Source organism: Homo sapiens, chromosome 10, assembly GCF_000001405.40.
Source record: "Homo sapiens chromosome 10, GRCh38.p14 Primary Assembly".
Taxonomy (NCBI): domain Eukaryota; kingdom Metazoa; phylum Chordata; class Mammalia; order Primates; family Hominidae; genus Homo; species Homo sapiens.
The window spans coordinates 99,526,106-99,553,572 of record NC_000010.11 but is presented as its reverse complement, the minus strand read 5'-3'; the positions used below and the strand labels follow the sequence as shown (position 1 = coordinate 99,553,572).

The 27,467-nt window shown below is 50.7% G+C and overlaps 1 protein-coding gene and 1 long non-coding RNA gene across 3 annotated transcripts, besides 4 other annotated features; one reads left to right on the top strand and one right to left on the bottom strand.

Moving 5' to 3' along the window:
* Positions 12,713–13,421: an enhancer, noted in NCBI's record as "H3K4me1 hESC enhancer chr10:101299909-101300617 (GRCh37/hg19 assembly coordinates)". NCBI's record gives its function as "activates a minimal SCP1, AML or CMV promoter by ChIP-STARR-seq in naive H9 embryonic stem cells {active_cell/tissue: H9 hESC(naive)}" and the evidence as "EXISTENCE:reporter gene assay evidence [ECO:0000049][PMID:30033119]".
* Positions 16,464–16,543: a silencer, noted in NCBI's record as "silent region_2693". NCBI's record gives its function as "represses an Ori minimal core promoter by ATAC-STARR-seq in GM12878 lymphoblastoid cells {active_cell/tissue: GM12878}" and the evidence as "EXISTENCE:reporter gene assay evidence [ECO:0000049][PMID:35858748]".
* NKX2-3 (NK2 homeobox 3) lies at positions 17,049–20,631 on the bottom strand. Of its 2 annotated transcripts, none has more exons than NM_145285.3 (2): positions 20,084–20,631; positions 17,049–18,588 (listed from the first exon to the last, which is right to left on the bottom strand). In NM_145285.3, exons 1-2 carry the CDS (start codon positions 20,439–20,441, stop codon positions 17,852–17,854), a joined length of 1,095 nt encoding a protein of 364 aa, NP_660328.2. In that variant the 5' UTR covers positions 20,442–20,631; the 3' UTR covers positions 17,049–17,851. The 2 variants fall into 2 exon arrangements, with proteins under 2 accessions (NP_660328.2, XP_011537672.1); XM_011539370.2 differs by lacking the exon at positions 17,049–18,588 and adding an exon at positions 18,615–18,842.
* Positions 18,119–18,268: a silencer, noted in NCBI's record as "silent region_2692". NCBI's record gives its function as "represses an Ori minimal core promoter by ATAC-STARR-seq in GM12878 lymphoblastoid cells {active_cell/tissue: GM12878}" and the evidence as "EXISTENCE:reporter gene assay evidence [ECO:0000049][PMID:35858748]".
* Positions 20,410–21,301: an enhancer, noted in NCBI's record as "H3K4me1 hESC enhancer chr10:101292029-101292920 (GRCh37/hg19 assembly coordinates)". NCBI's record gives its function as "activates a minimal SCP1, AML or CMV promoter by ChIP-STARR-seq in primed H9 embryonic stem cells {active_cell/tissue: H9 hESC(primed)}" and the evidence as "EXISTENCE:reporter gene assay evidence [ECO:0000049][PMID:30033119]".
* Positions 22,396–27,223, top strand: LINC01475 (long intergenic non-protein coding RNA 1475). The gene is made up of 5 exons (NR_120618.1): positions 22,396–22,561; positions 24,889–24,983; positions 25,452–25,767; positions 26,879–26,950; positions 27,107–27,223. It is a non-coding gene; the product is annotated as a long intergenic non-protein coding RNA 1475 (long non-coding RNA).
* The last annotated feature ends 244 nt before the right edge of the window (positions 27,224–27,467 follow it).

The window sequence follows — 27,467 nt, the reverse complement described above, 5'->3', positions numbered from 1 at the left end:
TCACGCCTGTAATCCCAGTACTTCGGGAGGCTGAGGCAGGTGGATCACGAGGTCAGGAGTCTGAGACCAGCCTGGTAGTGAAACCCCGTCTCTACTAAAAATACAAAAATTAGCGGGGCATGGTGGTGCGTGCCTGTAGTCCCAGCTACTTGGAAGGCTGAGGCAGGAGAATCACTTGAACCCAGGAGGTGGAGGCTGTGGTGAGCCAAGATCACACCACTGCACTAGGCAACAGAGTGAGACTCCATATCAAAAAAAAAAAAAAAAAAAAAAGAGCCTACTGAAGGGGCTGGGCTGGGGGAAAGATGAGGGTGGCTCTTTCTGGAGGAGAGAAAGAGGAGATGGACTTCAGCAAGAGCATAAAGTTCGATCTACAGAACTCTGCGATGGGCTAAGGTGAGGAGGATGGAAGGACTGAGGAAGATGCCCAGGTTTCTAACCTGTGCTAAGAGATGATGGTGGGGCCCTTCACTGAGGTGGGAGAGACGAGGGAGAAATAGGAGTGGGAAGGGAAGGGAGACACCTGATCACAACCTCCGTGGATTTCCATGTTTTCTATGACAACTGAGATAACTTCGGCTGCCCCCCAAAATAAATAAATTAACCCAACATAAGGGTTTTTTTTTAAATTAATAGACTTTATTTTGGGGAATATTTTTAGATTCACCAAAAATTAAGCAGAAAGTATGAGAATTCTCTTTTTTAAATCTTACATTTTTATTTTTATTTTTATTTTTGAGAAAGGGTCTCAGCTCTGTCACCTAGGCTGGAATGCCATGGCACAGTCACAGCTCACTGCAGCCTCACCCTCCCAGGCTCAAGTGATCCTCCCCGCTCAGCCTCTTGAGTAGCTGGGACTACAGGGGTGTGCCACCATATCTGGCTAATTTTTTCATTTTTGTAGAGATGGGGGTCCCACTAGGATGCCCAGGCTGGCCTCGAACTCCTGGGCTCAAACAATACACCCACATCAGCTTCCCAAATGCTGGGATCACAGACGTCAGCCACTGCACTCAGCCAAGAATTCTCATATGCCCTTCTCCTCTGCATGATTTCTCTTATCATTCCAACATAAATTTTTTAAAATTATTTTTAATTGGCAAATAAAAATAGTGTGTATTTATGTTGTACAACATGATATTTTCATGTGTACACAATGTGCAATAGCTGAATCAAGCTAATTAACAATCTATTACCTCCCATACTTATCATTTATTTGTAGTGAAAACACTTAAAATCCACCCTCTTAGCAATTTTTAAGTATACAATACATTGTTAATAACTGTCATCATCATGTTGTACAACAGGTCTCTTGAATTTATTCCTCTTGTTTAACTGAAATTTTGTAACTTTGTCTGCCACCTCTCCTCCCATCCCCATTCCCGGTAACCACTGTTGTACTCTCAGCTTCTGAGTTCAACTTTTTAAGATTTCACATACAAGTGAGATCATACAGTGGTTGTGTTTCTGTCCAACATAAGTTTTAAAGCCAAAGGAAATTGTTGTTAGAGTCAAAACAAAACCTATGCATTTCTGCCTGTTTCTCCTCAACGTAGAGAGATGGTGTCCATGTGGGGAAGCTTGGTAGTGATGTAGCAAGTGAGGACAACTGGCCCCTACTTCCCCCTCCAACCCCCCTCCTCTAATTTCCTACCTCCCCTTTTACAGAACTAGTTTTACTTTCCTTCATTCTGCCTGGCAAATGCCTTGCTATTTATGCCTCAAGGCTTGACTCAAATGTCATCTCCCTGAAGTCTGTCCTGACTCCTCCTATTGGGCCAATAATACCCTGTGCAGCCCCCAGGTTTTCACCTCCCATCGCAGAGGGAGGGAGATGTTCTTCCCGAGTCTGTCCTCGCCCCCACCCCACCATGACACTTAACTCACTGGAGGGTGGGGAGCCTGGCTTATTCCTAGTGCTCAGCACAATGCTTGGCTGTAGTAAATACCCATGAATATTTTTTGAACTGAACAGAAAGTGATGGGTGCCACTAAAAAAGAAAAAAAAAAAGGCAGGAAGAAAGACCAAAATGCTCTGGGAATTTAGGACTTCAGAAACTCAAAGTCAGTCGGCAAGACTGCCTACTAACTGCAGATCACAGCCTCCCCGGGAAGAGGAGTCATGTGGCTTATTGCAGGAGAAGGTACTTAGAGAAGGCTGAAAGCTGCTAGCAACAGGAGCAGCTGTTTGTGGTGAGCTGTTGTCTAACATGTCAGTGAGCGAGGCCCTGGGTATGTGCCAAGTGCTGAAGGGAAAACAGATCATCATCTGTGTGGATGGCCCAAATCCCTGACCCTCCATTAGCATGACCTATTGTGTGCGAATGTAATTTGACACGTAATCTGTAGACTTTTGGGTTGAATTTGATTTTGTCAACCTGGTAAATGAGTGTTGGTTCAATGATCTATCTTCTCCCTGGAGGTAGTAAATTTCATTTAAGAGGTGACTGGGTCTTATTAAGCTGTGTGAATTCTTGTAGCTCCTACAGAAGAGGATATTACATATCCCTTGTCATATATTTGTTGTGTTCGACAAATAGGTTCTGCTGGAGGTTTTGCCATGAACTGGCTGTGTGACTTTGGAGAAATCATGTAACTTCTCTAGACCTGCAGGGGGTGGGTAAGGTGCAGGGAGAGCCTGGAAACAAAGCAAAGAGCCTTGAAAATTTCCTTCCACATTCTGTGATCTGAAATCTTCCTTGCTGCTGGTATCCTGAAGAGGATTGATGCTCACCAGACGAGGGCCTCCCTGCGGGCTTCCTTCCTTTCTATAGGCATGCACCACGGTTTATTGTACAAACCGTGGTGGGGGAGATTTCCTTACAAAAATCACTGATGCACAGAAAAGAGCACTTATAGTTTATATACAAATAGAAGAGCCAGTTAATATGCTGCTATTTTTATTGGAGAAGCATGACTGGTTCAAGTTGTCTAATTTTAAAACATAAATAATAGAATGTATAAAGCTATTGAATATTCTTTCATTCCATTTTTATTATTTTTTGGGACGGAGTTTCACTCTTGTTGCCCAGGCTAGAGTGCAATGTCGAGATCTCGGCTCACTGCAACCTCCACCTCCCAGGTTCAAGCGATTCTCCTGCCTCAACCTCCTGAGCAGATGGGATTAATGGCATGCGCCACCACGCCCGGCTAATTTTTTGTATTTAGTAGAGATGGGGTTTCACCATGTTGGTCAGGCTGGTCTCGAACTCCTGACCTCAGGTGATCCACCCGCCTTGGCCTCTCAAAGTGCTGGGATCACAGATGTGTGCCACTGCTTTAATTCCATATTATAAAGTCAGTGAGTTGGAGGAGAGTGGCACCAGCGAGCTGCACATAATAAAAAAAATTAAAATTAGGCTGGGTGTGGCAGCTCATGCCTGTAATCCCAGCACTTTTGGGGGCCAAGGTGGGTGGATCACTTGAGGCCAGGAGTTTGTGACCAGCCTTGCCAATATGGCAAAACCCCGTCTTTACTAAAAATACAAAAATTAGCCCGGTGTGGTGGTGCACGCCTGTAATCCCAGCTACTTGGAAGGCTGAGGCAGGAGAATCGCTTGAACCCAGGAGGCAGAGGTTGCAGTGAGCTGAGATCGTGCCACTCACTCCAGCCTGGGCGACAGAGCGAGACTCCATCTCAATAAATAAATAAATAAAATAAAGTCAGTTAGTGGACAAAAGGAGAGGGAGGGAAGAAAGAGGGAATGGAAAAGGAGAGAGGAATGACAAGCAGAGGATTTCAGAGGAATACAGATACATAGAAAGAAAAGGGGGTGAAGCGAAGAGAGGGAGGAGAGACAGGGAGAGGAAAATAGGGGAGCAGAGACAAGTGGAAAGAGAAAGAGATTAGTATCAGGGAGACAGAAAACAACAGAGTCTAAAATGCCCGGACAAGGTTGGGCATGGTGGCTCACGCCTGTAGTCCCAGCACTTTGGGAGGCCGAGACAGGAGAATTGCCTGAGCACAGGACTTCAAGACCAGCCTGGGCAACACGGTGAAACCCTGTCTTCACAAAAGATACAAAAATTAGTTGGACATGGTGGTACATGCCTGTAGTCCCAGCTGCTCGGGAGACTGAGGGTGGGAGGATGGCTTAAGCCTAGGAGGTGTAGGTAGCAGTGAGCCGAGATCGTGCCGTTGCACCCCAGTCCAGACAACAGAGTGAGAACCTGTCTTAAAACAAACAAATAAAAATAAAATGCCCTGCCAGGCCCTGCTACCCACAGTACTGTCATTTTCCATCAGAGGGTCATTTATTCTCACTTGCCCTCAAAGTGCAAGTCTGAAATTCATCATTGTCCACAATCACAGTATAGGATGACGGTCAGCTAAGGGAGGAATTCTTCTTTAGGCTCTAGGGCCAGTGACAAGAGCACTGTTTGCCCCATGCCTGAGGAAATCAAGCAACCCCAGTCACAGGGCTGGGAATTTCCTCCCCCAGAGGCCACATCACCTATTTATGGCTGACTTTTTCCTAATGTAATGATTTAGTGTCCTTTAAATGTGATCAGCATATCCATTTGATTATTCAGGGAATAGAGAGAGGGATAAACAGAAGCTGATGGCATCAAAACCATGATGTTTAGCTGTGTGGTTATTCACTGAATGAGAACACCTGCCCCAAGAGAAATCCATTTCCATCCACCAAGCTGAGCACCTGGCAAAAGCCATACCCACTCAGAGGAAATGATGTCTTTTTCTAATTGACCCAAAGGCACTGGTGGTCCTAAGTAAGCCAGCATCCAATCAGAGCGGTGAGCTTATTTATCTGAAGGAACACTGAGATGGTGGACAGCCCTGGAGGCTTGGTCTGCACGTAGGCTCTAGTGCCCCGAGTCGACATTGGAAGAGGAAGGAGAGCTACTTTCAACCTCACCCCATTTTACACTGGCTCTCGGGCTTGATCCTCATCACATCCCTATAGGTAGGCGAGGCAAGAAGATTTTCATTCCCTTTTCAGATTAGGATGCTACTGCTCTGAGAGATTAAGAGACTGGCTCAAGGTCACATAAAATAAGTACATTTTGGAACTCATAACAATACCAGGCATAGGTGTGTATCAATGAACAAAGGGCCATGGAAGCTAAGAACAGACATCTGTTCTCTGGACTCTGAGTCAGATGCTTTCGCTGACTCCTTGAAAAGGAATTTGGGGCTATCACCAAGTCCCTCTCTTATCCGATTTTGGTCATTGTCAGGAATGTGTGGGTCTTCCTTAAAGGACCAGCAGGAGTGGGGGGCCCAGAGAACCCAAGACTTCCCTCAAGGAACAGCCCAGGAAGGAAGCCTAGGAGACTTGTACCTTTCTGTAGCCTTAGTCTGTGTGGCCTCTGGTCCCTGGCAACATCAGAAGGTACTGACAGGTCCCTCAGAGACAGTGCCAGGAGGAGTTGTGCATCCCATGGTCATCACTAGAGGGCAGAGGCAGGGCACTTGACTGCTTCTCACCACTCAGGAGATGCTAAACTAACAGGATCATTGATAGAGCCAAAGTATGGGTGCAGTTCTTAGCAGAGACATCACCAAGAGCAGCTATTGAGGAGGAAATGGACATCCACTTGAAGCGGCCAACAATTGGTCAATGTGTCTCAAAGAGTTTTCTGGAGAAGGCAAACAGATCAGCTTTATCTCCAGCTCTGATACTAGCTGCGTGATCTTGTACAAGTTGCTTAACCTCTCTGAACCCCTCAGTTTTCTCTCATCTGTAAAATGGAGCAACTATTATTTGGGCCTTCCATGTCCTTAACTAGCCAGTCATCTAGTGGACAATGTAGGTGCCTCTCTAACACATTCAGTCTGAGCAGGCAAGACAGTGCTGTTAAGGATTAAATAGAAGGAGGAAGAAGAACTCTGGGCCTGTTTTATTTATCAAATCCCTCAAGTTACTGTTGTTTGCTGAACTTGTACACAATTCCAACCAGACAATAAATTATCCCAATGTTTATAACATTAGCAATATTAAGAAAAATATGCTTCATTTATATTGCATTTTATACTTTTCTAATCTTTTTTTCCTAAATTATTTCATTTATATCCATCTCTGTGGGTAATACAAAGGAAGCAAAAAACATGATCCTTGCCCTCAAGGAGCTTATTTTCTAATTGAGAATGGAAATAATGAGACCACAAACAAGACTACTTTTTTTTTTTTTTTAAGAGATGGAGTCTCACTCTGTTGCCCAGGCTGGAGTGCAGTGGCACAATCATAACTCACTGCAGCTTTAACCTCCCAGGCTTAGGTGATGCTACCAACTCAGCTTCCTGAGTAGCTGGGACTACAGGTGCATGCCACCATGCCTGGGTAATTTTTGTATTTTTTTGTAGAGATGGGGTTTTGCCATGCTGCCCAGGCTGGTCTTGAACTCCTGTACTCAAGCCATCCACCGCCTCAGCCTCCCAAACTGCTGGGATTACAGATATGAGCCACTGCATTCAGTCACTATTTCATCTACCTTCAGAGAATGTGCAATCACTGTGGGCTGTGCTGGCTGGAAAAGACTTCATCATTAAGAGGCACTTGACTTGAAGTTCGGAGGAGTTTTGGAAGAACTGAGATGTTTCCCCAGGAATGAGCATAGTTAATAAAGGGTTAGCGGGAGCAGGATGGTAAGGAGATTGTGTAGATCATAAAAAAAAAGTGGGAAATTTGGTTGACTAGGCAAAGTAATAGGAGTTCATTAGTGGCCTGAGTGTATATTTGATCCTATGCACAGCGAGGAGCCATAGTGTGGTTGAAAAAAATATAGGTACCTTTAAGTAAGAGTCACTGGGGAAAATAAATCAGTGCCTGCATGAGGACTGGGTTTATCAACTATATACTCACACCAAGGGGGCAAGTTAGGAGGTTATTACAGTAAAGTGCTTAGGCTTTAAAATCAGATAGACCTTGATTTGAACTTGATTCTGTCACTCTAGAGCTGGATGTCATTGAACAAGTCTCAACATTCTCAAAGTTTGATTTCTTAATCCATAACATGAGAAAAATGGCACTTACTTTTCAGAATGTTTCTAGTATGAAATGGGTCAGGGTGAAAGCCCAGTACCTGAAAAGCATTAGGTGCTCAGTAACGTTAGTCCTCCCTTTCCTTCTGCTTTAAGTGAAGAGAGACTCTTGGGGAAATCATTTGTTGACTGATTGGTTCAACAAACAAACAAAGGGAAGAAAACAAGGACAGGTCATGCCATTGGCCGAAGCTGAGATGTGAGTACTTTTGGAGAGTGGTGATGAACTTGAGATGACAGTGGGGTGCACAAGTAGAATTATCCTCTAGGCATTTGGAAATATGACATTAGAGGGAAACCAAGGCCAAAGCTGTAGATTCAGGGGCCCGTAGTATAAAAGTGATAGTTGACACTGTACAATGACCAGCTTTAGGATCTAAAGAGTGTTGAAAAGCCACTGAGCCTTGGAAGGTTCCCTTAAGTGGGAATGGAGAAGGAAGACTGAGGAGCTATACTTTGTGCAAGGAAATCAGGCAAGTACGTGGTGTCAAAACTATGAGAAGACTTTCCAGGAAAAAAGTCATTATGCCAAATGTTAAAGAGAAGTAATAAAGGACAACCCTGAAGAGAAGCCACTGGACCAATGCTGACCTCAAAGAGTGACTCTTTGAGAACAATGACTCCTCAGGAGTGCTGGAAAGTGGGCACAGGTGTCTGGGAAGAACTGAGCCAGAGGACCACAAAGGCAACTTCCAACCAGGCATCAGTGTCCACCACCTAGAAAGCAAACATCAGTTAGGCTGGGGGAGAGGGAAGGAGCTGGTGAAAAAATAGGCAGAAACTGACAGAAAAAGGGAGGAAAGATATTTAAGAAAGAGGCACCAGTATTAAGAGAAGGTAATATGGAGAGATGGCTACATGTTTGAGAGAGAAAGGAAGGTAGAGAATATTAGATTGCAGGGTGGTAGGACCTCAGAACTCAAAATTTAGAAGAATTATTTCTTTTTCTTTTCTTTTCTTTTCTTCTTCTCTTCCTCCCTCTTCCGCCTCCCCCTCCTCCCACTGCTCCCCCTCCTCTTCCTCCTCGAGACAGGATCTCACTCTGTCATCCAGTGGCACCATCTCAGCTCACTGCAGCCTCAACCTCCCCAGGCTCAGGTGATCCTCCCACGTCAGTCTGCCTAGTATCTGGGACTACTGGTGTGCACCATCATGCCTGGCTAATTTTTGTATTTTTTGTAGAGACAGGGTTTGGCCATGTTGCCCAGGCTGGTCTCAAACTCCTGGGCTCAAGCAATCCTCCCACCTCAGCCTCCCAAAGTGTTGGTATTACAGGTGTGAGCCACCATGCCTGGCCTCAGAAGCATTATTTCTAGAAATAGGAAAGAAGCTTTTATCTAGACTTTAAAAGGAAACATTACTTGTAGAGAGAAGAATGGTACTTATTCCTCTGAAGACTAAGGAATAAAAACTTAATTTGAGGAGAGCCTCCCAGCTGGCCCCTTCCTTCTCAGAAGAGTGGGGGAGGATGGATAGATGTGTTTAAAGGCTTAGGAAGGGGGGCCCTCCCTTGAGGAACACAGCAGAACAGCCCAGGCACAGAAGAAACAGGGGAGCTAGAGAACATCTACTGAGGAATGGCCAGGAGGCTGAGGATAGTCAAAGAAACCGAGGTTATTTTACTGGGAGAAGAGAGGGTCTACACAGCATTCAATGGCTGACTTTTAAATATGTGAAGAGTTGACATGCAGAAGTAGACATCTGTGAAAACAGGAGTTGCCAGTGATGGAAGTTGCAGGAAGGCAGATTCCATGTGAACATAAGACAGAATTTTTTCACACTTATTGAGTAGAGGGGTGAGTGGTTCTCCTATGGGTAGTGTCCAGGAGATATGGGACAGTGCCTTGCTTAGGATGCTGCAGGCAGAACTGGGCATCAGAAAAGAGTTAGACTTTGGTGATTCTTAGGTGAAATGTACAGCTGAATCTACAGGCATGTAACAAATTTAGTTTAAAGACTCTCAAGGCTGGAAGGGGCCCAAAAGGTGATGTAATATAATAATCCTTTGACTCTTGAGTCCCCTCTGTGAGAGGTTCACCAAGTGATCAAGGACTGTAAAATATAGCCATACTGAGCCTGAATCCACCAGTAGCCATGGGGGCAATGGGTTTCTAGTTACTCATTATCTGGATTGAGAACAAATCTGCGTACCTCCCAGATAATTCACTCTCAAGATGGCCCCAGTGAAACTTTCAAGATAACCCTTCTCAATGAACCAGGAAATAGCTATGAAATATTGATGAATCTTGCATATAATTTTGAGTTGTTCCTCACTTTTTAAAAATTACTTGTAACCCTCAACTTAAGAAATTCTGGGTTATTATTCATATTTCAAAGGAATCCTTCCCTTTAAAAAATAATTCAGCTTGGGATATTTTTAAAGAACAAACTCCAGTGATAAGTTTAAATGTACTCAATTTTTCTCCCTACCCATGGCAAAAAGCCCTTTGCATACAACTTTCCAAGAACTCATTGTATCACACAAAGTGAATTTCACTGGTATTTTAACATAACAAATGCTTTGCTTAATTTCCAACACATAGGTGGTCAGTGGTCAGCCTAGGTCCATACAAAAGGAGGTGTAGCATAGGGCGTCTAATTTCATCCAGAATTTCAAAATCTGCACTAGTCAGTTTACCCAGAGGAGAGAGGTAGAAAACAGAAATGTTCTTAGTGGCACTGGGTGAAAAGTCCTATTGAGGTTATTGCTACTGTTTACTTGCTGTGGCACTTGGGGAGAGTGACTTAATCTCTCTGAGCCTCAGTTTCTTCATGTGTAAATAAGGAATCTTCACATAGCTATTCTGAGGATTAAAGAGAATATCTACAAAGCAACACACACACACACACACACACATACACACACACACACACACACACACACACAGCCTGACACATAGTAAGAAATCTCCCTGCTGCCTCCACAGGGTTGACTTTGCTTTAGTTCCCAGCAAGCACACCCAAGGGTTGTTTTGTGTTTTTGTTTCGTTTTTGTTTTTGTTTTGAGACAGTTTCTCTGGGTCACCCAGGCGGACTGCAGTCGTGCGATCTCAGCTCACTGCAACCTCCGCCTCCTGGGTTCAAGCGATTCTCCTGCCTCAGCCTCCCAAGTAGCTGGGACTACAGGCCTGTGCCACCATGCCTGGCTAATTTGTGTGTGTGTGTGTGTATTTTTAGTAGAGATGGGGTTTCACCATGTTGGTCAGGCTGGTCTTGAACTCCTGACCTCAAATGATCCTTCCCTCAAATGATCCTTCCACCTCGGCCTCCCAAAGTGCTGAGATTACAGGTATGAGCCACCGTGTCCAGCCTGTTTTGTTTTTGAGACAATCTCACCCTGTCGCCCGGGCTGGAGTGCAGTGGTGAGACCATAGCTCACTGCAGCCTCGACCTCCTGGGCTCAATCAATCCTCCTGCCTCAGCCTGCCTAGTAGCTGGGACCATAGGTACGCACCACTGCACCCAGCTAGTGTTTTTTTATTATTTTTAGTAAAGACAGTGTCTCACTGTGTTGCCCAGGCTGCTCTCAAATACCTGACCTCAAGTGATCCTCCCACCTCAGCCTCTCAAAGTGCTGAGATTATAGATGTGAGCCATCGTGTCTAGCCCCAAGGATTGCTAATGCTGTTTTACACATGGTAAAGCCAAGTCACAAACTAAAACTGCGGCCAGAACAAAACCTGGCTTCTCTATCCTGGTTGCAGCCTGCCAAGCAAGCTCACCATCTCTGCTGGTGAGGCATTCTAATAAGTAGCAGTAAAAGAAGAGCAGACACTGATTTTGAGAAGGCATAAAGTAACAAGAGCTATGGGAGATAGATAACCTCCAAACACACAGCCCTTCCCTCAAGTCCTGCTGATGCCCTAGGTCTAGTTCCTAAGGGAGAAAGCGACTGAGCGGGAGGTCTGACTGCAAGGTGGAGTCATGAAAAGGGTGGGCTTTAGACTCACATGGCCTCTCTCAGCCTCCAAGAAACCCCCAACCACCACCATCATCTTCTTCTTCTTCACTATGGTTAAATGGCAATTTCACAATCTTACACAAAAGTGAACAAAAGCCTTTTAACTACCTGCTCACCAGAATGGCTAAAATGAAAGAGAAATGAAATAAAAATACTAAGTATTGGGGCATGTGGTGCCAACACTGGTAGGAGTGTAAATTGGTCTAACCAACTGTAGAAAACTGCTTGGCAGACCCTATTAAGGCTAATATTTGTGTCTATGACATAGCAAGCTGGGCGCAGTGGCTCACGCCTGTAATCCCAGCACTTTGGGAGGCTGAGGTGGGCGGATCACCTGAGGTCAGGAGTTCGAGACCAGCCTGGCCAACATGGTGAAACCCTGTCTCTATTAAAATTACAAAAATTAGCCGGGTGTGGTGGCACAAGCCTGTAATCCCAGCTACTCGGGAGGCAGAGGCAGGAGAATCACTTGAACCTGGGAGGCGGAGGTTGCAGTGAACCAAGATTGCACCACTGCACTCCAGCCTGGGTGACAGAGTGAGTAAGACTCCGTCTCAAAAAAAAAAAAAAAAAAAAAAAAAAAAAAAATAGCAATTGCACTCCTAGGCATATACTGAATAGAAATATGTATTGTGGTCACCAAAAGACAAGCTAGAACTGTGCTGTCCAATAGAGTAGCTCTAGCCGTATTAGCTATTTACATTTAAATTAATTGCAATTTTAGAAAATTAAAAATTGAGTTCCTCAGTCACACCTGTCACATTTCAAGTGCTCAAAAGTCACATGTCACTAATGGCTACCATGTTGGACAACACAGATATAGAACATTTTTTATCATCGCAGGAAGTTCTATTGGACGCTGTTTTAGCATATCGTAGTGGTGCTATTCACAACAGCCTAAAAACTAGAAACAATCCAAATACCTATAAACAGCAGAATGGATACATTGATTGTGGTATATTCACACCGTGGAACACTCTAAAGTAACTGAAATGAACGACCTACAACTACATGCAGCCATATGGATAAATCTCACGAACGAATGAAGCAGGCGCACAAGAGTGCAATCTATATGATTCCATTTAGATAAAGTTCCCAAACGGGCAAAACTAACCTGTGCTGTTAGAAGCCAGGACAGTGGTTACCCTTAGTGGCTCCAGGTAGTAGTGACAAGAAGAGAGCATGGGGGTACTTTCCGGGGACTGATAATGTTCTGCTTCTTCATCTGGGAGTTGGTAGCATGGAAGGGTTCCGTTTATAAAGATAGAGCGAGCCGTACGCTTGGGGTTTTCTATATGTATCTCCCACTCCAATAAGAAGTTTACTAATCGCTCCTTTGGAAAACCTCAGCTGTTATTAATCTGTTACTTACAATCTAGGTGGGGTGGGGTGGGGGCATATTTTCAACAAAGCAAACGTGGTTTAGAGATCAGTGCCCCCTCCCCCTGACGCCTCCCCAGGACTCCCTGCAGGGGCCTCCCCGTGCCCCTTAAGCCCCACCCAGGACGTCCTACCTCCGCGACCGTCAGGACTGCTGGCTCTTGCAGTTTGGACTCTCACCTGCAGAGTCGGCTAGGCTCTCCCGGGGCTCGCCGGGGCACTCCCGGCCCAGCTGGCTCTGACCGCCCCGGGCCCGCCTGGGAAGCAGCGGCCGGCCCCTGAGCGCCCCGCCCCGTGGCACCTGCGCTGCTCCGGGCGGTTAGAAAGGATCCTTCCCTCTCGCGCGGGGCCAGACTGCACTGAACTCTCTCCAGTCGCGGACAAATCACAGTCCTTCCAGGGCTCGGGCCCCTGGAGTTGGGAGGAGGCGCCCGGGAAGTCCCCACTGGCGTCCTGAACCAGAAAGCGAGGAACTGGGCGGCTGCGACTGGGGCCTTGGACCTCCCGGTCTCCCGCGCGAGTCTCCAGGGAAGCCCCTGCCCACCCGGCCCCACCCTGGCAGAGGCGCGGCCCCAAGTCACTCCGGCGGCGCGCGCGGGCCCGGGAGAAGCCCCGCGGAGAGGGGCCGGGTTTCCACTCCTTACCCTTTCCTCCCTGCAGTGGTGGGCTAGAGAGGACTCGAACCTCCCCCAGGAAACGTCCTTCCACCTTCCCCTTCTGTCGAATGTCCCAGATGCAGCCGAAATCAAAGCCCTGCAGACCCCGCCGGGCGCCACCTGTCCCAGGTTTACCCGCAATGGCTCTGCCGGATCTCTGTGGTGACACGCGCCCGCGGAGCTGGGGTTTTCGGTCCTTGTGCCGCCCTGTTTCCCACGACCCCCCCCGCGCCCCTGTTCCCACCCCCCTGTTTCCACCCCCCTCACCCCGGGGACCTGGGAGTGCCTCGAGGGCGGAATAGAGTCCTAGACATCTTCCTAGAACGTCGACGCAATATCCTAGGTATTGAGATTGATCATCTTATTTAACTTTTAAAGCCAAAATGATTGATACACGAATGTTTACTATATAAACATTCACTGAGTTGCATCCTTAACTATTTGCATGTTTTACTGTAGGCAAAAAAAAAAAAAAGAGGTGCTACAAGCATACCCATTTTATAGAGGAAGAAACTGAGGTTCAGGGCACTTCTAACTTATTCAAAGTTTCCACTGCTGGTTGTGGTGCTGCTGAGAATAGAATAGACTCAGTCTGACTTCAGAGTTCATCCTCTTAACTCCTCAAGATCAGGCTTTGCAGGAAAAAGTACTAGCCATCTAAAACCTATCCCACTTCTTCCCTCAGTGGTGCCAACCCACCCTGAGCTTATTGGGTGGGGAGGGGTTACACACTCATCCAAGGGAACCCAGGAGGGTTGAACCTGAAGTGACCTCTGAAATCATATGGTTCACCCTTCTCTCTACCATAGATCTCAAAAACCACAGCCCAGAGGAACAACTTACTTGGCCTGTCCCAAGTCTCATGGGTCATTAGAAGGCCTGCCTGGATTTTGATTCCTCCTGACTCACAGGACAATTTAATGAAGCAGCAGTTTGTCCTGTCAGGGGGAACTTTTACCCTGGAGAGGGAGCCCAAGGAAGAGGTACCTGCGTTGGTCAAGGGTTTTCAACCTCTGATGGAGGAACCCCAGCAAGGAGCAGTAGGGAAATCCTCCAGTGAAGTGGTGGGAGCTATTTATACCTGGAGACTGCAGGCTCCGGAGCAGGGTAGGGAGCGGGCTGGTCTAGGCTGGCTTCAAGTATCTCAAGACACGCAAACTTGCGGAAGCCAATCCACAGAACCAGTTCTGTTTCCTCTGTGAGGATCACAAGCCACTTTTCCAGAACAAGAGGGAATGCAGAGTGAAGGAAGACCAACGCAGGGCAAGAGGAAGCCCAGCAAGGAAAGTGGGGGTGTGGTGCTGGGAGCACTGAGAGGCCAAGGCCCAGCAGGATAAGGGACTGCATTGGAGGCAAAGTAGTTGCTTACTTAGGAAACCCCCAGTGGAGCAAGGGCAGCTATTCCTAGAGACTTCAGTTCCAAGAGCGAAGGTGCTGGGGGAGTGAGCTCTCACAGGGTGCTTGCCCAGATCTTGCTGACTTTCCATTCCCTGCACCTAATGAATGTAGGGGAAGTCGAATTGGGTCCCAGACGCGGGTCCTGGGTTTCTTACACATCCTAGTGTTCCCCAGGCCCCAAATTTTGTGCCCTGGGGTCAAGGTCTTCACCAAGGTCTTAGCCTCCCTCCTATTCTAGGTATTGAGCTGTAGGACGAGGTGCAACATTGTGGGCAGGGATGTCCTTAGGCAGCATTAGGGGGTACAGAAGAGGTGGGACCTTCGGCTGGGTTGGAGATGGGTTGCCAAGTGTCCTGAACTAGGCCCAGGGAAGGCAAGATTCCAGTTCCACATTTCCCTCGAAGCTAGCAGCCAAGGCCACAGCTCAACAGCACCCAGGCAATTCAGGCAGCCATGAAGCACCAGGGAAGAGGTGCTGACAGAGCCCAGAGGGCATCCCACAACCCTCCTGGCCCCATGAGCTCCTACTGTGGTACCTGTCCCAGAGGGAAAAGATGCCAACCTGGCCCTCCACAACCTCCTGTGGAGAGAGAGAGACAAATAAATCTTTGCATGACACCATGTTATGATATTGGAAAGTACCTAAGACTCTGGTGGCACAAATGTGAGAGTGATTACCTCTACTTAGGTGGTTCAGGAAAGAAGCTTGGCCTTGAAGGAGAGGCAAAAGTTCACCAGAAAAATGGGGGTGGAAGGGCATTCCAGATGGACGGGAGGGCATGTGCTGAGGCATGGAGGCTGAGATAGCAAAGCACTGTTGGAATGACTTCGTTTTGTCATTCAGGCATTGACTTAAATGTAATCTCAACAGGCTTTCCCGACCGCCTACTTGAAAAGACCTCCGTTCCCAGCGTTTGGTTCTATTTCCTTTTTAGAATTCATCTTCTGTTTTTGCATTTGTTTATTGTCTCACCCTCCCTCCACCCACACCTTCACACCTGAAAATAAAATCCACCAATCTAGGGACACTTTTTTTTTCACCGTTCCCAGCAACTCAACAGTACAAGTGAATACATAGTAGGTGCTCAGTATACCTAGTTGAATGGATGAATGAATGAATGAAAGTCTGCAGCCGCAGGCTGTGAGAAGCAAGTAACAAGCCAAGAATTTCCTCTCCAGCCCTTGGCCTAAGCAATCCATGGAAAGGTAACGGCTCCAGAAGAGGGAGCGCGGTAGGGAAGGGGATTCGGGCATCACGGTGGTGGGAGGCTGTGTCCCAGTTCGGGGGCGACGTGAAAGAGGAGGGACCCGGCCGCGAGTTGCTGCGGGACCAGCAGTCTGGTGCACTGGCTCACGCTCGGCTCTGGGGTCTTTCTGCCGCCTGAGAGGCAAGGGGAGGGAAGGTCTTCGCTCCCCAAGTGCCGCTTCTCTAGCCTCCCGCTAGGCCCTTTCGGATGTGTCCAAGTCGCATCCTGGGCGGTCAGAGGGCTTCGGAGGGCTCCCTTGCCTGCCTGCCTCCCTCCCTCCCTTCCCTCCTTCTTTTTCTTCCTCCTCCTCGGGTCTCTACAGCTCCCCAGCCGGGCGGCCCCGCCACAGCCTAGCAGCCCCACCCCCTCCTGTAAGGGAGAAATTGCTAAACTTGTAGCAATAATGACCCAGCATTCAGGCCGCCGACTCCCGCTGAACGTCTCAGCGCCCCGGCCGGCCCGGCCTAATCAGCGCGCCCCTCCCTGCTGCCCGCCCAGCCCCCGTCCCCCTGCCGCCCCCTCCCCCAGAGCACAAAAAGTGGGGAACAAAACCCCCGCACATTTCTCCGTCCCTCTGTTGAGCAGACTGCTGCACAAAGCCCCCGCTCTGAGAAGCAATGGGGAGCTCGGGGGGGACGTCAATCCGACGCGCTGGGGTTTTTGTTCGCGCAGGGGACCTCGCCTTCCTACCACACCTTTTGTTCGGGACTCCAATAAAAAGCCATTCTTTCCGCACCTTCCCGGCCCGGAGCCGCCTTTCAGCGAGGCCCGGCCCCACAATGGCGCGGCGCTCTGAGGCCTCCCCATTCACCCGCCTTGGCACGCTCACAATCGGCCGTGTGGCAGCACAGGCCTCGCACAGGCATTCTCCGCAAGTGACAAGGAGCCGCATAAAGCCGCGGCCGCCGGGGGAGAAGGGAGGGCGGCCAAGGGGGAGAGCTCGGCCGCAGTGGGGCGCAGCGCAGCGCCCCCGGGCGCGTTGGTAGCCCTGGCTGCAGCCAGGGAAGGAGCCGCCTTCGCGCGGCCAACAGCTGGGACTGCGAGCGAGGCTTCCTTTTCCCTGGCGACCCTCGAGGTGGGGCAGAGTGCAAGACTTGACCGAACGCAGGTCTATACAGCTAGTCCAAGCATCTGGGTAAAACTTAGGGGGAACTGCAAAGCCAGGGACTTCAAATGGCCCTGAGCCTTCGACCTGTCCAGCCCTCAAGAGTAAACAGAAATTAATGAACAAAGCCCCGAAGAGATCAGACTTGCAGCCTGGGGCCTGGCTCATGGGAGACCAGGCCTGCGATCGCCCAGGGAGGATGGCTTTCCCCCTCGCACCTTTTCCTCCCCTTCCCGCCCTATTTAAAGGATTCCTCTCCACTCTTTGGGGCTAAACAAATTCTGTAGCCGGCCAACGATTTGAAAATATTGCACCTTGTTTATTGACTCCTGTAGTGTGTGGCAGCGGGTGTCTACACGGCGTGTGGTTATAGTTATATAGATAGATAGATAGATAACATGTGCTGAATACAGAATACGAAACAGAAAGGAAACCCGGTAACACCTCCGGTGGGCCACCAGGTCCTGAGTTTGTTCAGCCTCCCCCCACCCCCAACTTTTGATCTCATTCGGCTGGTTTTCCTCGAAGAGTCCTGCGTCCCCCGACAATCCGGAGATCTGGACCGAGGTATCTGCTGCGGAGGGGAGACAGCTGCGAAACGAAATCGACTGTGCTATGGCGCTCCAGGCCCGCAAAGGGGGCAGAGGATCGGTAGGGCCTGGAATTTCTCAAGCCACGACCCCCATTTTTCTCTCCTTCATGCTTTTAATTTGTTATGTCCTTGGGCTCCCCGCCAACGCTTCGCGGAGGCCGCGGAAAGGCAGAGGGAGAGAAGCCCTTCTCGCTTTGGAAGAACCAAGCGCGGCCAGGGTCCTAGCCTCCTGGTCTCCTCTCGCTGCCAGGGTCGGGGCCATCGTCCTCCCCGGCGCCCAGCCGGCGTTTCTGCCTCAGAGACAGTCCTGGCGACCGGACCCAGTCATCCTCCTCGCCCCTGAGTCCCCTTCCCCAGGCCTCGAGTGAGCTGCGATCCGAAGCCCTGAGGAGCTAGACGTACATATTTTTTTAACGAGGGGACCTGACCTTTAGGTCAGGCCCTTCTCGAGCTTCAGTCCCGCGGCGCCAGGCTGCGCTGGGGTGCCCGCCGCGTGACCCGCCCCGTCCCTACCAGGCCCGGATGCCCTGCAAGGTGCCCTGAGCGCACGCGGCCCCGGCTGCAGTACCCTGGTGCAACGGCTGTGCGCTGCCGCCGCTGCCGAAGCCTCCTAGGTTGCTCACGTTCACAAAGGGGCCGCCTCCGGCCGCGCTGCAGGCGGGCTGCATGGCAGTGGTCGCCGCGGAGGTCCCGCCGCCGCCGCCGCCGCCGCCCGCCGGGTACGCACAGCCATAGCTGCTGCTGTAGGCCGCCGCTGCTGCGGCGGCGGCGGCGGCGGCGGCGGCGGCCGCGGCCGAGTTCCCATAGCCGTAGGCGGGGAAGCTGTTGTAGGAGTAGGCGCTGGCGCCCACGCTGTAGGGCGCGCCGTAGGCCTGCGCGCTGGGCGTGACGCACGGCTTGCCGTCCCGCACCAGCACCGGGACAGCCACGCGGCGCGGCGGCGGCGGGGGCGCGTGTGCGCCAAGCTCCAGAGACTTGTCCTGCCGCTGTCTCTTGCACTTGTACCTGCGATTCTGGAACCAGATTTTCACCTGAGTGGATGTGAGCTTCAGGCTGCTGGCGAGGTGCTCGCGCTCGGGTGCCGACAGGTACCGCTGCTGCTTGAACCTGCGTTCCAGCTCGAAGACCTGGGCTTGCGAGAAGAGGACCCGGGGCTTCCGGCGGCTGCGTGGCTTCGGCCTCTCGCTCTCCTCCGCCGCCTTGCAGTCTCCGGCCGTCTCTAGAGACTTCTTCAGCTGGCAGCTTTCTGCGGAAGAAGCAAACAACAGCGTCCTTAGCTGTTCCCGGCCGCACCGCGGCTCCTGTCCTGGAGCACCGTGACCCTTTTTGGTGGCTGCGCAGAGCGTGCGGTAGTAAATGGCTGGACTTTTGGGAACGTTTGTGGCTCCTGGCGCTGTGGGACCCTGAGACAGCCCCAGTACCCAAAGAACGCCCTTAGCAGGCGGAGGCGCGTTTCGTGGAGAGGGGTAGTTAGTGCGTGTTTATTTGGATCTTGAGCATCTGCGAGAGAAGAGATTACTCTGTATTAAATATGCGGCTCGACGTGCTAATGACTATTTTCAGGATGAAGGCTTGCAACTACATAATAACTACAGTATTTGCAAACTCGTTTGCATTCTACTCCACCAAGGATAACTGAAGGTGTGAGGCGTGTTGGTATGAGTGGGCCGGTGGGCATGGGTTGCGCGAAAATCTGTTCTGAGTGTAACGCTTGTGCATGGCTCAGGGACTTGTGTGTGTGTGTGGCTTATAAAAGACTACAAGCGAATGTTATGACGACATCTGTGTGCACTTTGAAAATGAAGTTTGATTGACTAGTTATAGACAGTTTCATGCCGATTTTCGGCTCTGGGAACTATGAGAGCATAGGCCTTGGCCTCTGCCACATCAAACCGCCTCTTGGGGAAAGACTGTGATTCTGTCCTCTTAAATACACTTCCTTGGGGACTTTATTTGATTATCCCATCTCCCTATCAATTCACTTCCCATCCGATGTGAGCAGCCAAGATCTCGGACTCAAGTTCGGCGCGTTTTCTATTAGGCCCGCAGCCTGGGACACAAAGCAAAACGTTACGGATTTTCAAAAAAGGCTGGCGCCTTAGGGATGTGAGAGCTATGGTCGCGCGGAATAGACATTGTTCCCACGCACTTTCCGATCATCTCCTCTCTCTCTACCGAGTGCCACGGGTTCAAGGACGCTGAGCTCCAAGCAGAGAAGGGAGGAAACCGCCCAGCTGGCCTCCACCAAAGTTCCTGCCCCTGCGGGTGCGAGAGACACAGGCTGCTTGGGCTGTCTTTTCGGAGAAGAAGGGGTGGCTGCCCTGGGCTAAGAGAACTCATCTCACCCTAGAGGGAAAACGAAAAAGGTCCAGGCTCCTGCCCTTTTTGGGGGAAGAGCCTTTTGGGGCGGGGGGAAGAGCAAAAATACTGCCAGTTATGAGGACCCAGGCGCTGAGCCCACGTCGCCTCTCAGCATCAGGGCAGCAGTAACCACCTTCCCTTCCCTCATTTCCCCCTTTTGGGGGGAGTAGTTGTCAGGGTCACCTCGTCCTTGTCTCTCCACCCCGGCTCCCTTGCAGGTACCTGCGCTTTGTGGAGCTGTCGGTGACCAGGGCGGAGGCATGGCCCCAGCCAAAGGGTAAAGGGATGGGCAGCTGCGCTGGCAAGGTCTGTGGGCTGTTTGTGTGCGCTCTGCCATTGCTCCAGGTGTGCGGGTGCGTTTTCTTTCCCCCTCTACTCACTTTGGCTCCGGTCCCTCACGACCTCGGGCTCCTCTTCATGTTCCTTGGGCTCGCTGCACGAGTCTCGCAGGACCGTGTGGACATAGCCCTGGGGACACAGCCCTGAATCCCCGTGGCCGTCTGCTGCGGCTAGTGAGTTCAAATAGGACAATTTCTCGCCCTCGTCTTCCTCGTCCTCCTCCCCTCCGTCAGAAAATTGCGTCCCCTCAGCGGCGGCCAGCATGCAGGGCGCAGAGTGGAAGTGGTGCTCCAAGTCCGCCTGCAAGTGCGCACCATGGAAGTGCTGGTGCTGCTGCTCCAGATTCAAAATGTCTTTGACTGAGAAAGGGGTGGAGGTGACCGGGCTTGGTAACATCATCAGGGCCACTTAATTGTCCAGTCCAAATAATAAATCCCGGCGGGGGCGGGGAGGCAGCGCGGCGGCTCCAGCTCTCCTCCTGGACTCCGCCGCTGCTGCCGAGTCGGGCTTTTGACAGACGCGGTCCCACTCCAGTCTAAATCGCCTCCATTGGCCGGGACCTGGGGGTCTGGGTTTTGTTACAGCCACTGCAGGGACTGGGGCCCGGGCTCCTAAGCCTCTGTCCGGGAGATTTGCGTCACGTTGGGGGGGCGGGGCTGGCGCCCCAACCTCCCTCCCTATAGGTTCTGGCTCATGTGGGCCACGCCCCCTGCTCTCTGCGAGTGGGATGTTGCGGCTCTACCAGAAATAGACAAGGACTAGTATAGAGTCCTGAAGTCCGAGACGCTGCGGGCGAGGCTGCACAGATCCGGTTCCTGAACCATTGATTCCCGCGTGGCTGCACCTTCCCGACCTAGGCCAGTTCTGGGAGGCTTGCTGTCCACGAACCAACGCCAGGGAAGGATGCCCCAGGAGTGTGTTTTTTTCAGCTGCTGCGCGGGGCAGGAAAACTTCCTGGCGGGTAAATACTGGGCGCTGGATCCACGAGGAGATGCAGTGTTTTATCTATCTATGGGTGGGCGACATGTCCTTTTTCAACTTGTTGCCTTTGCTCAAGCTTTCTCTCCACTTGGAACATGTTTCTGACACTTAGCCTCCACGAGTGGAAACTGTTCTCCAAGGAAGAGCTCCTAGATCGTCTAGCCGGAAGTCCCCTCTTTCAGGCTCTGAACCTGCAGCTTGTGTTAGCAAAGGACATGCATGTCACTTATCACTTCCCACTTAATTCTATAGCTGTATGTGCCTGCCTGGTCGCCCCAGTTAGACTGTAAGCTCCATGAGGGCAGTGTCCCGGGGTTGCTTTTGCCCTTGTATCCCTGGCAGCAGCCGCACAGAGCAGTATGTGAAAGGAAGATAGAGTTATGACTAAACTTTGGTATTCGACAGCTCTTGCTTGGCCTAGTCAGTGTGTGATCTTCGGCGTTTCTAAGTCTGTTTTCTCGTCTATAAAACGAAGGCAGTAATACCTTTTTTGGTTGTTGCTAGGGTTGAATGAGGCAAAACATGCCAGAATCTTAGTGCACGGCCTCACGCGTGTTAAGCGCTCAGTACGTGTCAACGACTGCTTTTCTGTATGGGAGGTCAAGCAGTGTTTGTTGACTGCATTGGTGGTGCGTGGCTGGAGTGTGGCACATACTGAGAGCAGGATCTGTCCTCACAAGGGAGGTGACCCAGCCTTGGCAGCCTTCTTTTCCACCTATTGAAATCAGGAGCCTGAATGTAGGCCTTGCCTCTCCGACAGGCTTTTAAAATTTCTCTACCTACACGCCTTCTGGCACCTTCATGAGGCCCTGGTTGTTTTCTGGGGGAGTCTATACAGTCCCCCACAGATTCTGGAAACTCTGAGCTGGAAACTCTGGGACCATCTTCTCCCACAATAGGCATTTGCTCGCTACCAGGCCTAGCCCAGTGAGGAGCAGCGGGCGCTGCTTTGAGGGCCACAGAAAGACCCGTGTGCAGCGCTGGCCTTAAAAAAATAGGGAACGGTTCCAGCTCAACCGTGGCTGTCCTCATCCGGCCCCAGCCAATCCAAGCATTTTTTGGCGGTCAGGATGGCGGAGCTGAAAGAGACCCGTCTCACCTGGAAGGGGCAGGTGAAAGGTGCAGGGACGGTGGACATTGCCTCCGAGCGGCATAAGACACCGGCTGGGAGTGGGTACGAGGGTGGAGGGCTGCCACGCGGGTCCCGCAACGGCGACAGGAGTGGGTGCCCAAGGTTGAAGGGAGAAAGAACAGCCTGTCGGGAGGTGGGAGAGGCGGGGCTCTGCAGAAGGGAGCGGAACTGTTGTGGAGAGGCAGCCCCTGGGTCCGCCCGGGGAGCTGGGATGCCGCGCGGGCCACGTGCGCCCCGGAGTACTTAGGGTAGCGGCGGCCCGCAGGCAGTAGGGAGAGACCCTCTGTGGGCAGGGTCTTGTGCTGGAACCGCCATTCCTCAGCCACAGGGGCGCCCGGTGTCTTTCTGCTTTAAATCCTGAAACTATTGACGCCCCAGGCGGAGACCAGTGTCTACAAACCAGGCGGTGAGTCTGCAGAGGGAGGAATGTGCCTGGTTTTGCCGTGGATCCCGAGCGCTCGGGCACAAAAATTCCGAGGTGGGGGCAGAGGGGTGCACGGCACTGCGGGGTGGCGGACCTCGAGTGTGTGTGCATCACGGTGGCCGCCGAGCATAAAAGCAGGAAGCTGAGCTCCAGCGCCACTTCCCCACCCCACCTCCGGGGCAAAACTGTCTCAGGGGAAATGTTTCTGCTCTCTTCTAGTCCCCAGTTTTCTTCTCCTCGGTGATTTCATGATTCTGGAAAAAGAAAAGGAGAAAGGCTATCGAAACAATCTCTCTCTCCCCAGTTTCCAACCGAAGCCTGCATTTCTCCTTGTTACATTCCCTTGCTTCCCATCTCGCTTCGCTCCTAGGCCTTTCATAAATCTAGCCCAACAATCCAGGTCTTAAAACTGCGACCAGGACAAAGCGCCCCTCCAGCGCCTGATCGCCAATACACGCCCACAGACGCTCTGCAGCCGCCGGAGCCCACCAGGGCGCCTCTGTGAGCTCATGCAGGGGGCTGTCTCCTCCCCACCAGCCGGCCCACGGGTGCCCCTCTACCCCAAATTCCGCCGCCCCAGCCGCTCCCGGGCCAGGTACCTTGCGCCAGGCCTAAGCGGTTGTCTCTTGAGGACCCTGGGCAGGTTGCTCCTCAGTAGGCCACCAGGGCCTGTGAGGACTTCCAGGCGAAGGGGCCTAGCGGGCGGCGCCTAGACCTTATCGCCGCTTCCTTTCCTCATACCCAGCCCAGTGTAGTGCTGTTCCAGCCTGCGGAAAACCTCTATCCGCTACCGCATCCCTAAGGTTGATCTGAGTTTTATGCCCAGAGCAGGAGTTTGGGTTGTCTCCAGCTACCCCCTCAGTATTGTTCAGACTCCCTTGGTCTGGTTCCCCAGTGGCGTGCTTCCCCGCAGGGATCCCCGCCAGGCCAATCTCATCTAGGTGGCCTCCTTTTCCCGCGCGCGCAGCCTGTACCCTCGACGGCCGCGGGCCTGAAAGGAGGAGAACTCGAGAGCCGTAGTTGTACAGCAGCAGTCGCTCCGCAGGAGTCTCTTATCAGAGTGGGATCTGGTTCCAACGCCTATCCAGTTACCATCGCCTTCTGGGGCATTTGCATTCTCTTGTCTGAAAAGTAGATCTTTGAAATCCTCGAGCTGTGCTCTACTAATAATAGGTTTTCGTTCCAGACAGTTTAGCTAATTACTGTCAGATAAAGTAAGTATGGCTGCATCCATGGAAGCGTTTGATTTTATTTTAATCGAGTGTATCTGCCTTCCTACCCTTTCATCACCTCATACATTTATACAAGCTCTCTCCCCCACCCTATGATTAAAGATCATCAGTAAATGGTGGCAAAGTCCTTGAAGGGGAAGTGCTGTATAGATGCCTAAACGTCTGTACCTTTTTTTTTTTTTAAGGAAAACCACATGCTAGCCATTACAATAAATGCATTATCAAATGAAAAATGTGACAATTTTTTGAAAACTGTTAAGTGTTCTCATAGCTGTTATTGTCTACACAAAGATTGCTTAATGCACATATAAATATAGGCAGATAATGGATAATTTTAGTTGTAAATGCCACTGCTTATCCCGTTGTCTCTCAACTTTTCAAATTGTCATTTAATTATGTAACCAAGGCTGCAAACAAGTTGAAAGTTATCGTGGCTTTCTAATCAAAATGTAACAATGTAACACTACAATCAGAAGAGATTTTTCTATTAAAGCCTGAAAAAATCATCCTGTGATGAACTCAGATAGCCAAAACATTTCAGGTGAATCTTTTCATTTTTTTAATTGCTCTCCTAGAAGTTTCATTTTCAATGTCAACTTATGAGAGAGAGACTCACTAAATGGGTTTTTGTTAATTTGTTGGTGGTAGTGATGGTGGCGGTGGTGGTGGTGGGTGTGTGTGTTTGTGTGTATGCGCAAGTGTGCTTTGCTTTGGTTTTTTGTTAAGGAATGTTAGAAAGCTATCCATTTTTTTTAAAGCAATTCAGAAGCAATAGCATTTTAATTGCGAGACGGGTGAATACATTTTGTGCTTTTAATGTCAACTAGGTTAGTGAGTCCTAGAAGGCATTAAACTGTTCTAATTTCTTGGGAGGTTTTTTTCTTGTCGAAGGAATTTCATAAAAGAGATTTTGAAATGCTGTTTTAAGCACTAGTTTGTTTTGCATGTGTTTGCAGGAATGCCAAATTTTCCTAGATTTTATTTGGAATTGAGTTTTCTAAATTAACCACTATTTCTCTTTCCTGGGAGAAAATTAGTCCGAATACAGTAATTTGTATAGTTCCTTGTAAATTACAGGTCCTTGCTGAGAATGTGACTTTCGATTTCTCAGGGAGAGGACTTCACAGCTATCTTTGTGGATCTGCCCCTCCAAAAATTTTAAAGATAAAAAGGTAAATTACCCTTTCTTTACCAAAACCAGTTCTGTTAATAAAACATGTCGAAAAGACTGTATCTTTGTTGAATGAAAATCAATTCAATATTTTTTCAAACGAAAAACACCTAAATAAAGGACTCCTGTATACAGACATTTATTTGTACTGTTTGCGTGTGCTATTTGGGCGTGCAGTGAGCAGTTTTAACTTGAGGATTAAATTGGAATTCTGAATGCATTCCTTAACTTTTTTTGTTGTTGCTAGCGTGCTTTTAACTTTCTGTAGCGAAATTTCAATGTGTATAAACTTTTAAAAATGTAATCTGACTTCAGAAGAGCGGCTGCTGTCTTGGGCAAATTAATTCATTCGAACCAAAGCGGCTGCCTGCTCTGTGCGGATTGCTGATTTTTAGTAGTGGGGTAACAGAGAAAGAAATGTGGTTATCGCGTTCCAAGAAGCAAGAGAGATTCTTCGTGTCTCTTCCAGCGCTATCTACTCGAAACTGTCTGCTCTCAACCGTAAACCGGCTCCGTGGGATCTCAGCCTCCTAGGACGTAGAAAGCTTCCTCCAAATCTCCCCGGGGGTCACGTTGGCACAAACACCTTCAAACCGTCTGAGAACGAAAAAGACCTTTCTCACTTGGAAAGAAACGTTTACTGCAGTCTTGTTTAAGTAACATGTTTAAGTAACGTCTTATGCGGCCTTCGCCGCGTCCAGCCTGGAGGTCCGGGCCTTCGGTCGGCACTGGGAGAGCGATCCCCAAGGTTCCGCTAGACCTTCGCTGCGTCAGCGGACGGCCAGGTCTGCGGGCCTAGCCCCCCGATTGCCCTTGGCCCCTGAAGCTGCAGGGACGCCCAGCCATCACCACTGCCCCGGCGCAGTTCCTGCTCGGCTCGCCTGACCCTGCGGAGATGTGGGGGTCGGGTGGGGCCGTGGGCTGCTGGCCTTGCTCAGAATCAGCCAGGGAACAGCAGAGAGGGCCGAGGCACCAGGCGGGTGCGGCGCGCCAGGACGCACGCCACAGGGGTCAGAAGGAGTGGCGCTCCCTAGGAACCAGGTCCAGGCTCTGGACCTCGCAGCCTCGCCTGCATGTCAGGTCGGAGTCCCCGGTTCGGTACCTCCAGGTTGCAGCGACTGTAAGGGCCCCAAGCCTCATTGTGCCCTGCCTGGTACTGGCGCCCCGTCTCCAAGCCCGTGCACGTAGGGCCTAGCAGTGCTGGGCTTTTTCCTGGGGCATCTCTCTCCATCCGCCCGCCAAGGGCCTGGGGCCCTAGCGAAGAGGACTAGGGAGACTTGGTTGGCCCGCACAAGGTGGGCCTTTGTCCTTGAACCTGCCTCTACGTTCTCGAACTCCCCTCCACCTCTCCGCACTCCTGCCAGCCAGAGGCGAGGACCTTCTTACCTCTTGAGGCTCGCCACATCCTGAGGCCAGGCAGAGCTTCTGAGTCGGGGATCCTAAAACGCGCGCGCTCTTCCGCCTGCAGTCCTCCTCCTCTCCCTCACTGCTAGCCTTTTTCCCCTCGTAGCCCCTTCCTCTCTGACGGAGCCCATTTTACTCTGCCACCCCTTTTCCCTTCTGCCCTTCCCCCACTTCCTTTCTTCCTCACCTCCTCCCCCATCTCCTCAGCTTCCTTTCTTACTGTTTCCACTCCTCCCCACCTGTTTCCCTCCTGCCCATTTTCTCACTCTTCCCCTCATCTTGTTTCATTCCCCTCTTTTCTCTCCCTTCTTACCCCCTCCACTCTGATGCTCTCAGGCTTTTTGATTGTGGCCCCTGCAGATGTTTGATGTGAAGGGAATCAGGGCAGCACAGGAGGGCTTCGCCGAGGTGGGGTGAGACTAACTGAGCAAGACTCCACTCCTGAGCCTCACATTCCTTCCCCTATCCCACCCCTCTGCTTCTGACCCTCAGGGCTGCTCAGGAAAATGCCCATGCATCCCTGGGCTTGTGAAAGGGAAGCTACTCTGTGCCCTGTTCCAACTGGTAAGACCTCTCCCACCTCCCAAGCCCCCACTCCCCCATGGCCTCAGCAGTGGGCCCTAGCTGGTCTGTGGGGCTCCAGGTGGCAGGCTTGGCTGCCCTCCCCATGGAAATCCCCACTCCAGGCAGATCCTTCTCCATTTCCTTCTATTGTGGCAGTCTGAAGAGAACCAGAACAGAGCTGGAGGTGACCATGAGGCCTGGGCCCCAGGCATCCCTGAGAGCAGATGGGGGCTCCCAGACCAGGAACACCCACCCCCACTGCACCACACACAGGTGAGAGCAAACTGACTTTCCTTTCTTTCCCAACAGTCCCACTTTAGACTGGGGGTTGTATTGTCTTGAGATCACCCCAACTGGAAGGTGTTTCAGAGATTGCCTTAAAATGCAGGGGCCAAATCTAAGAGAAAAGAGTGGGGTCCCTGGCTTCTCACACCAGCCAAGGACAGAGCACTCTAGCTGCTCTGGGTCCACCAATAATCTCCTACCTTTTCCCTAACTGGGGCCAGTGGGGGCCACT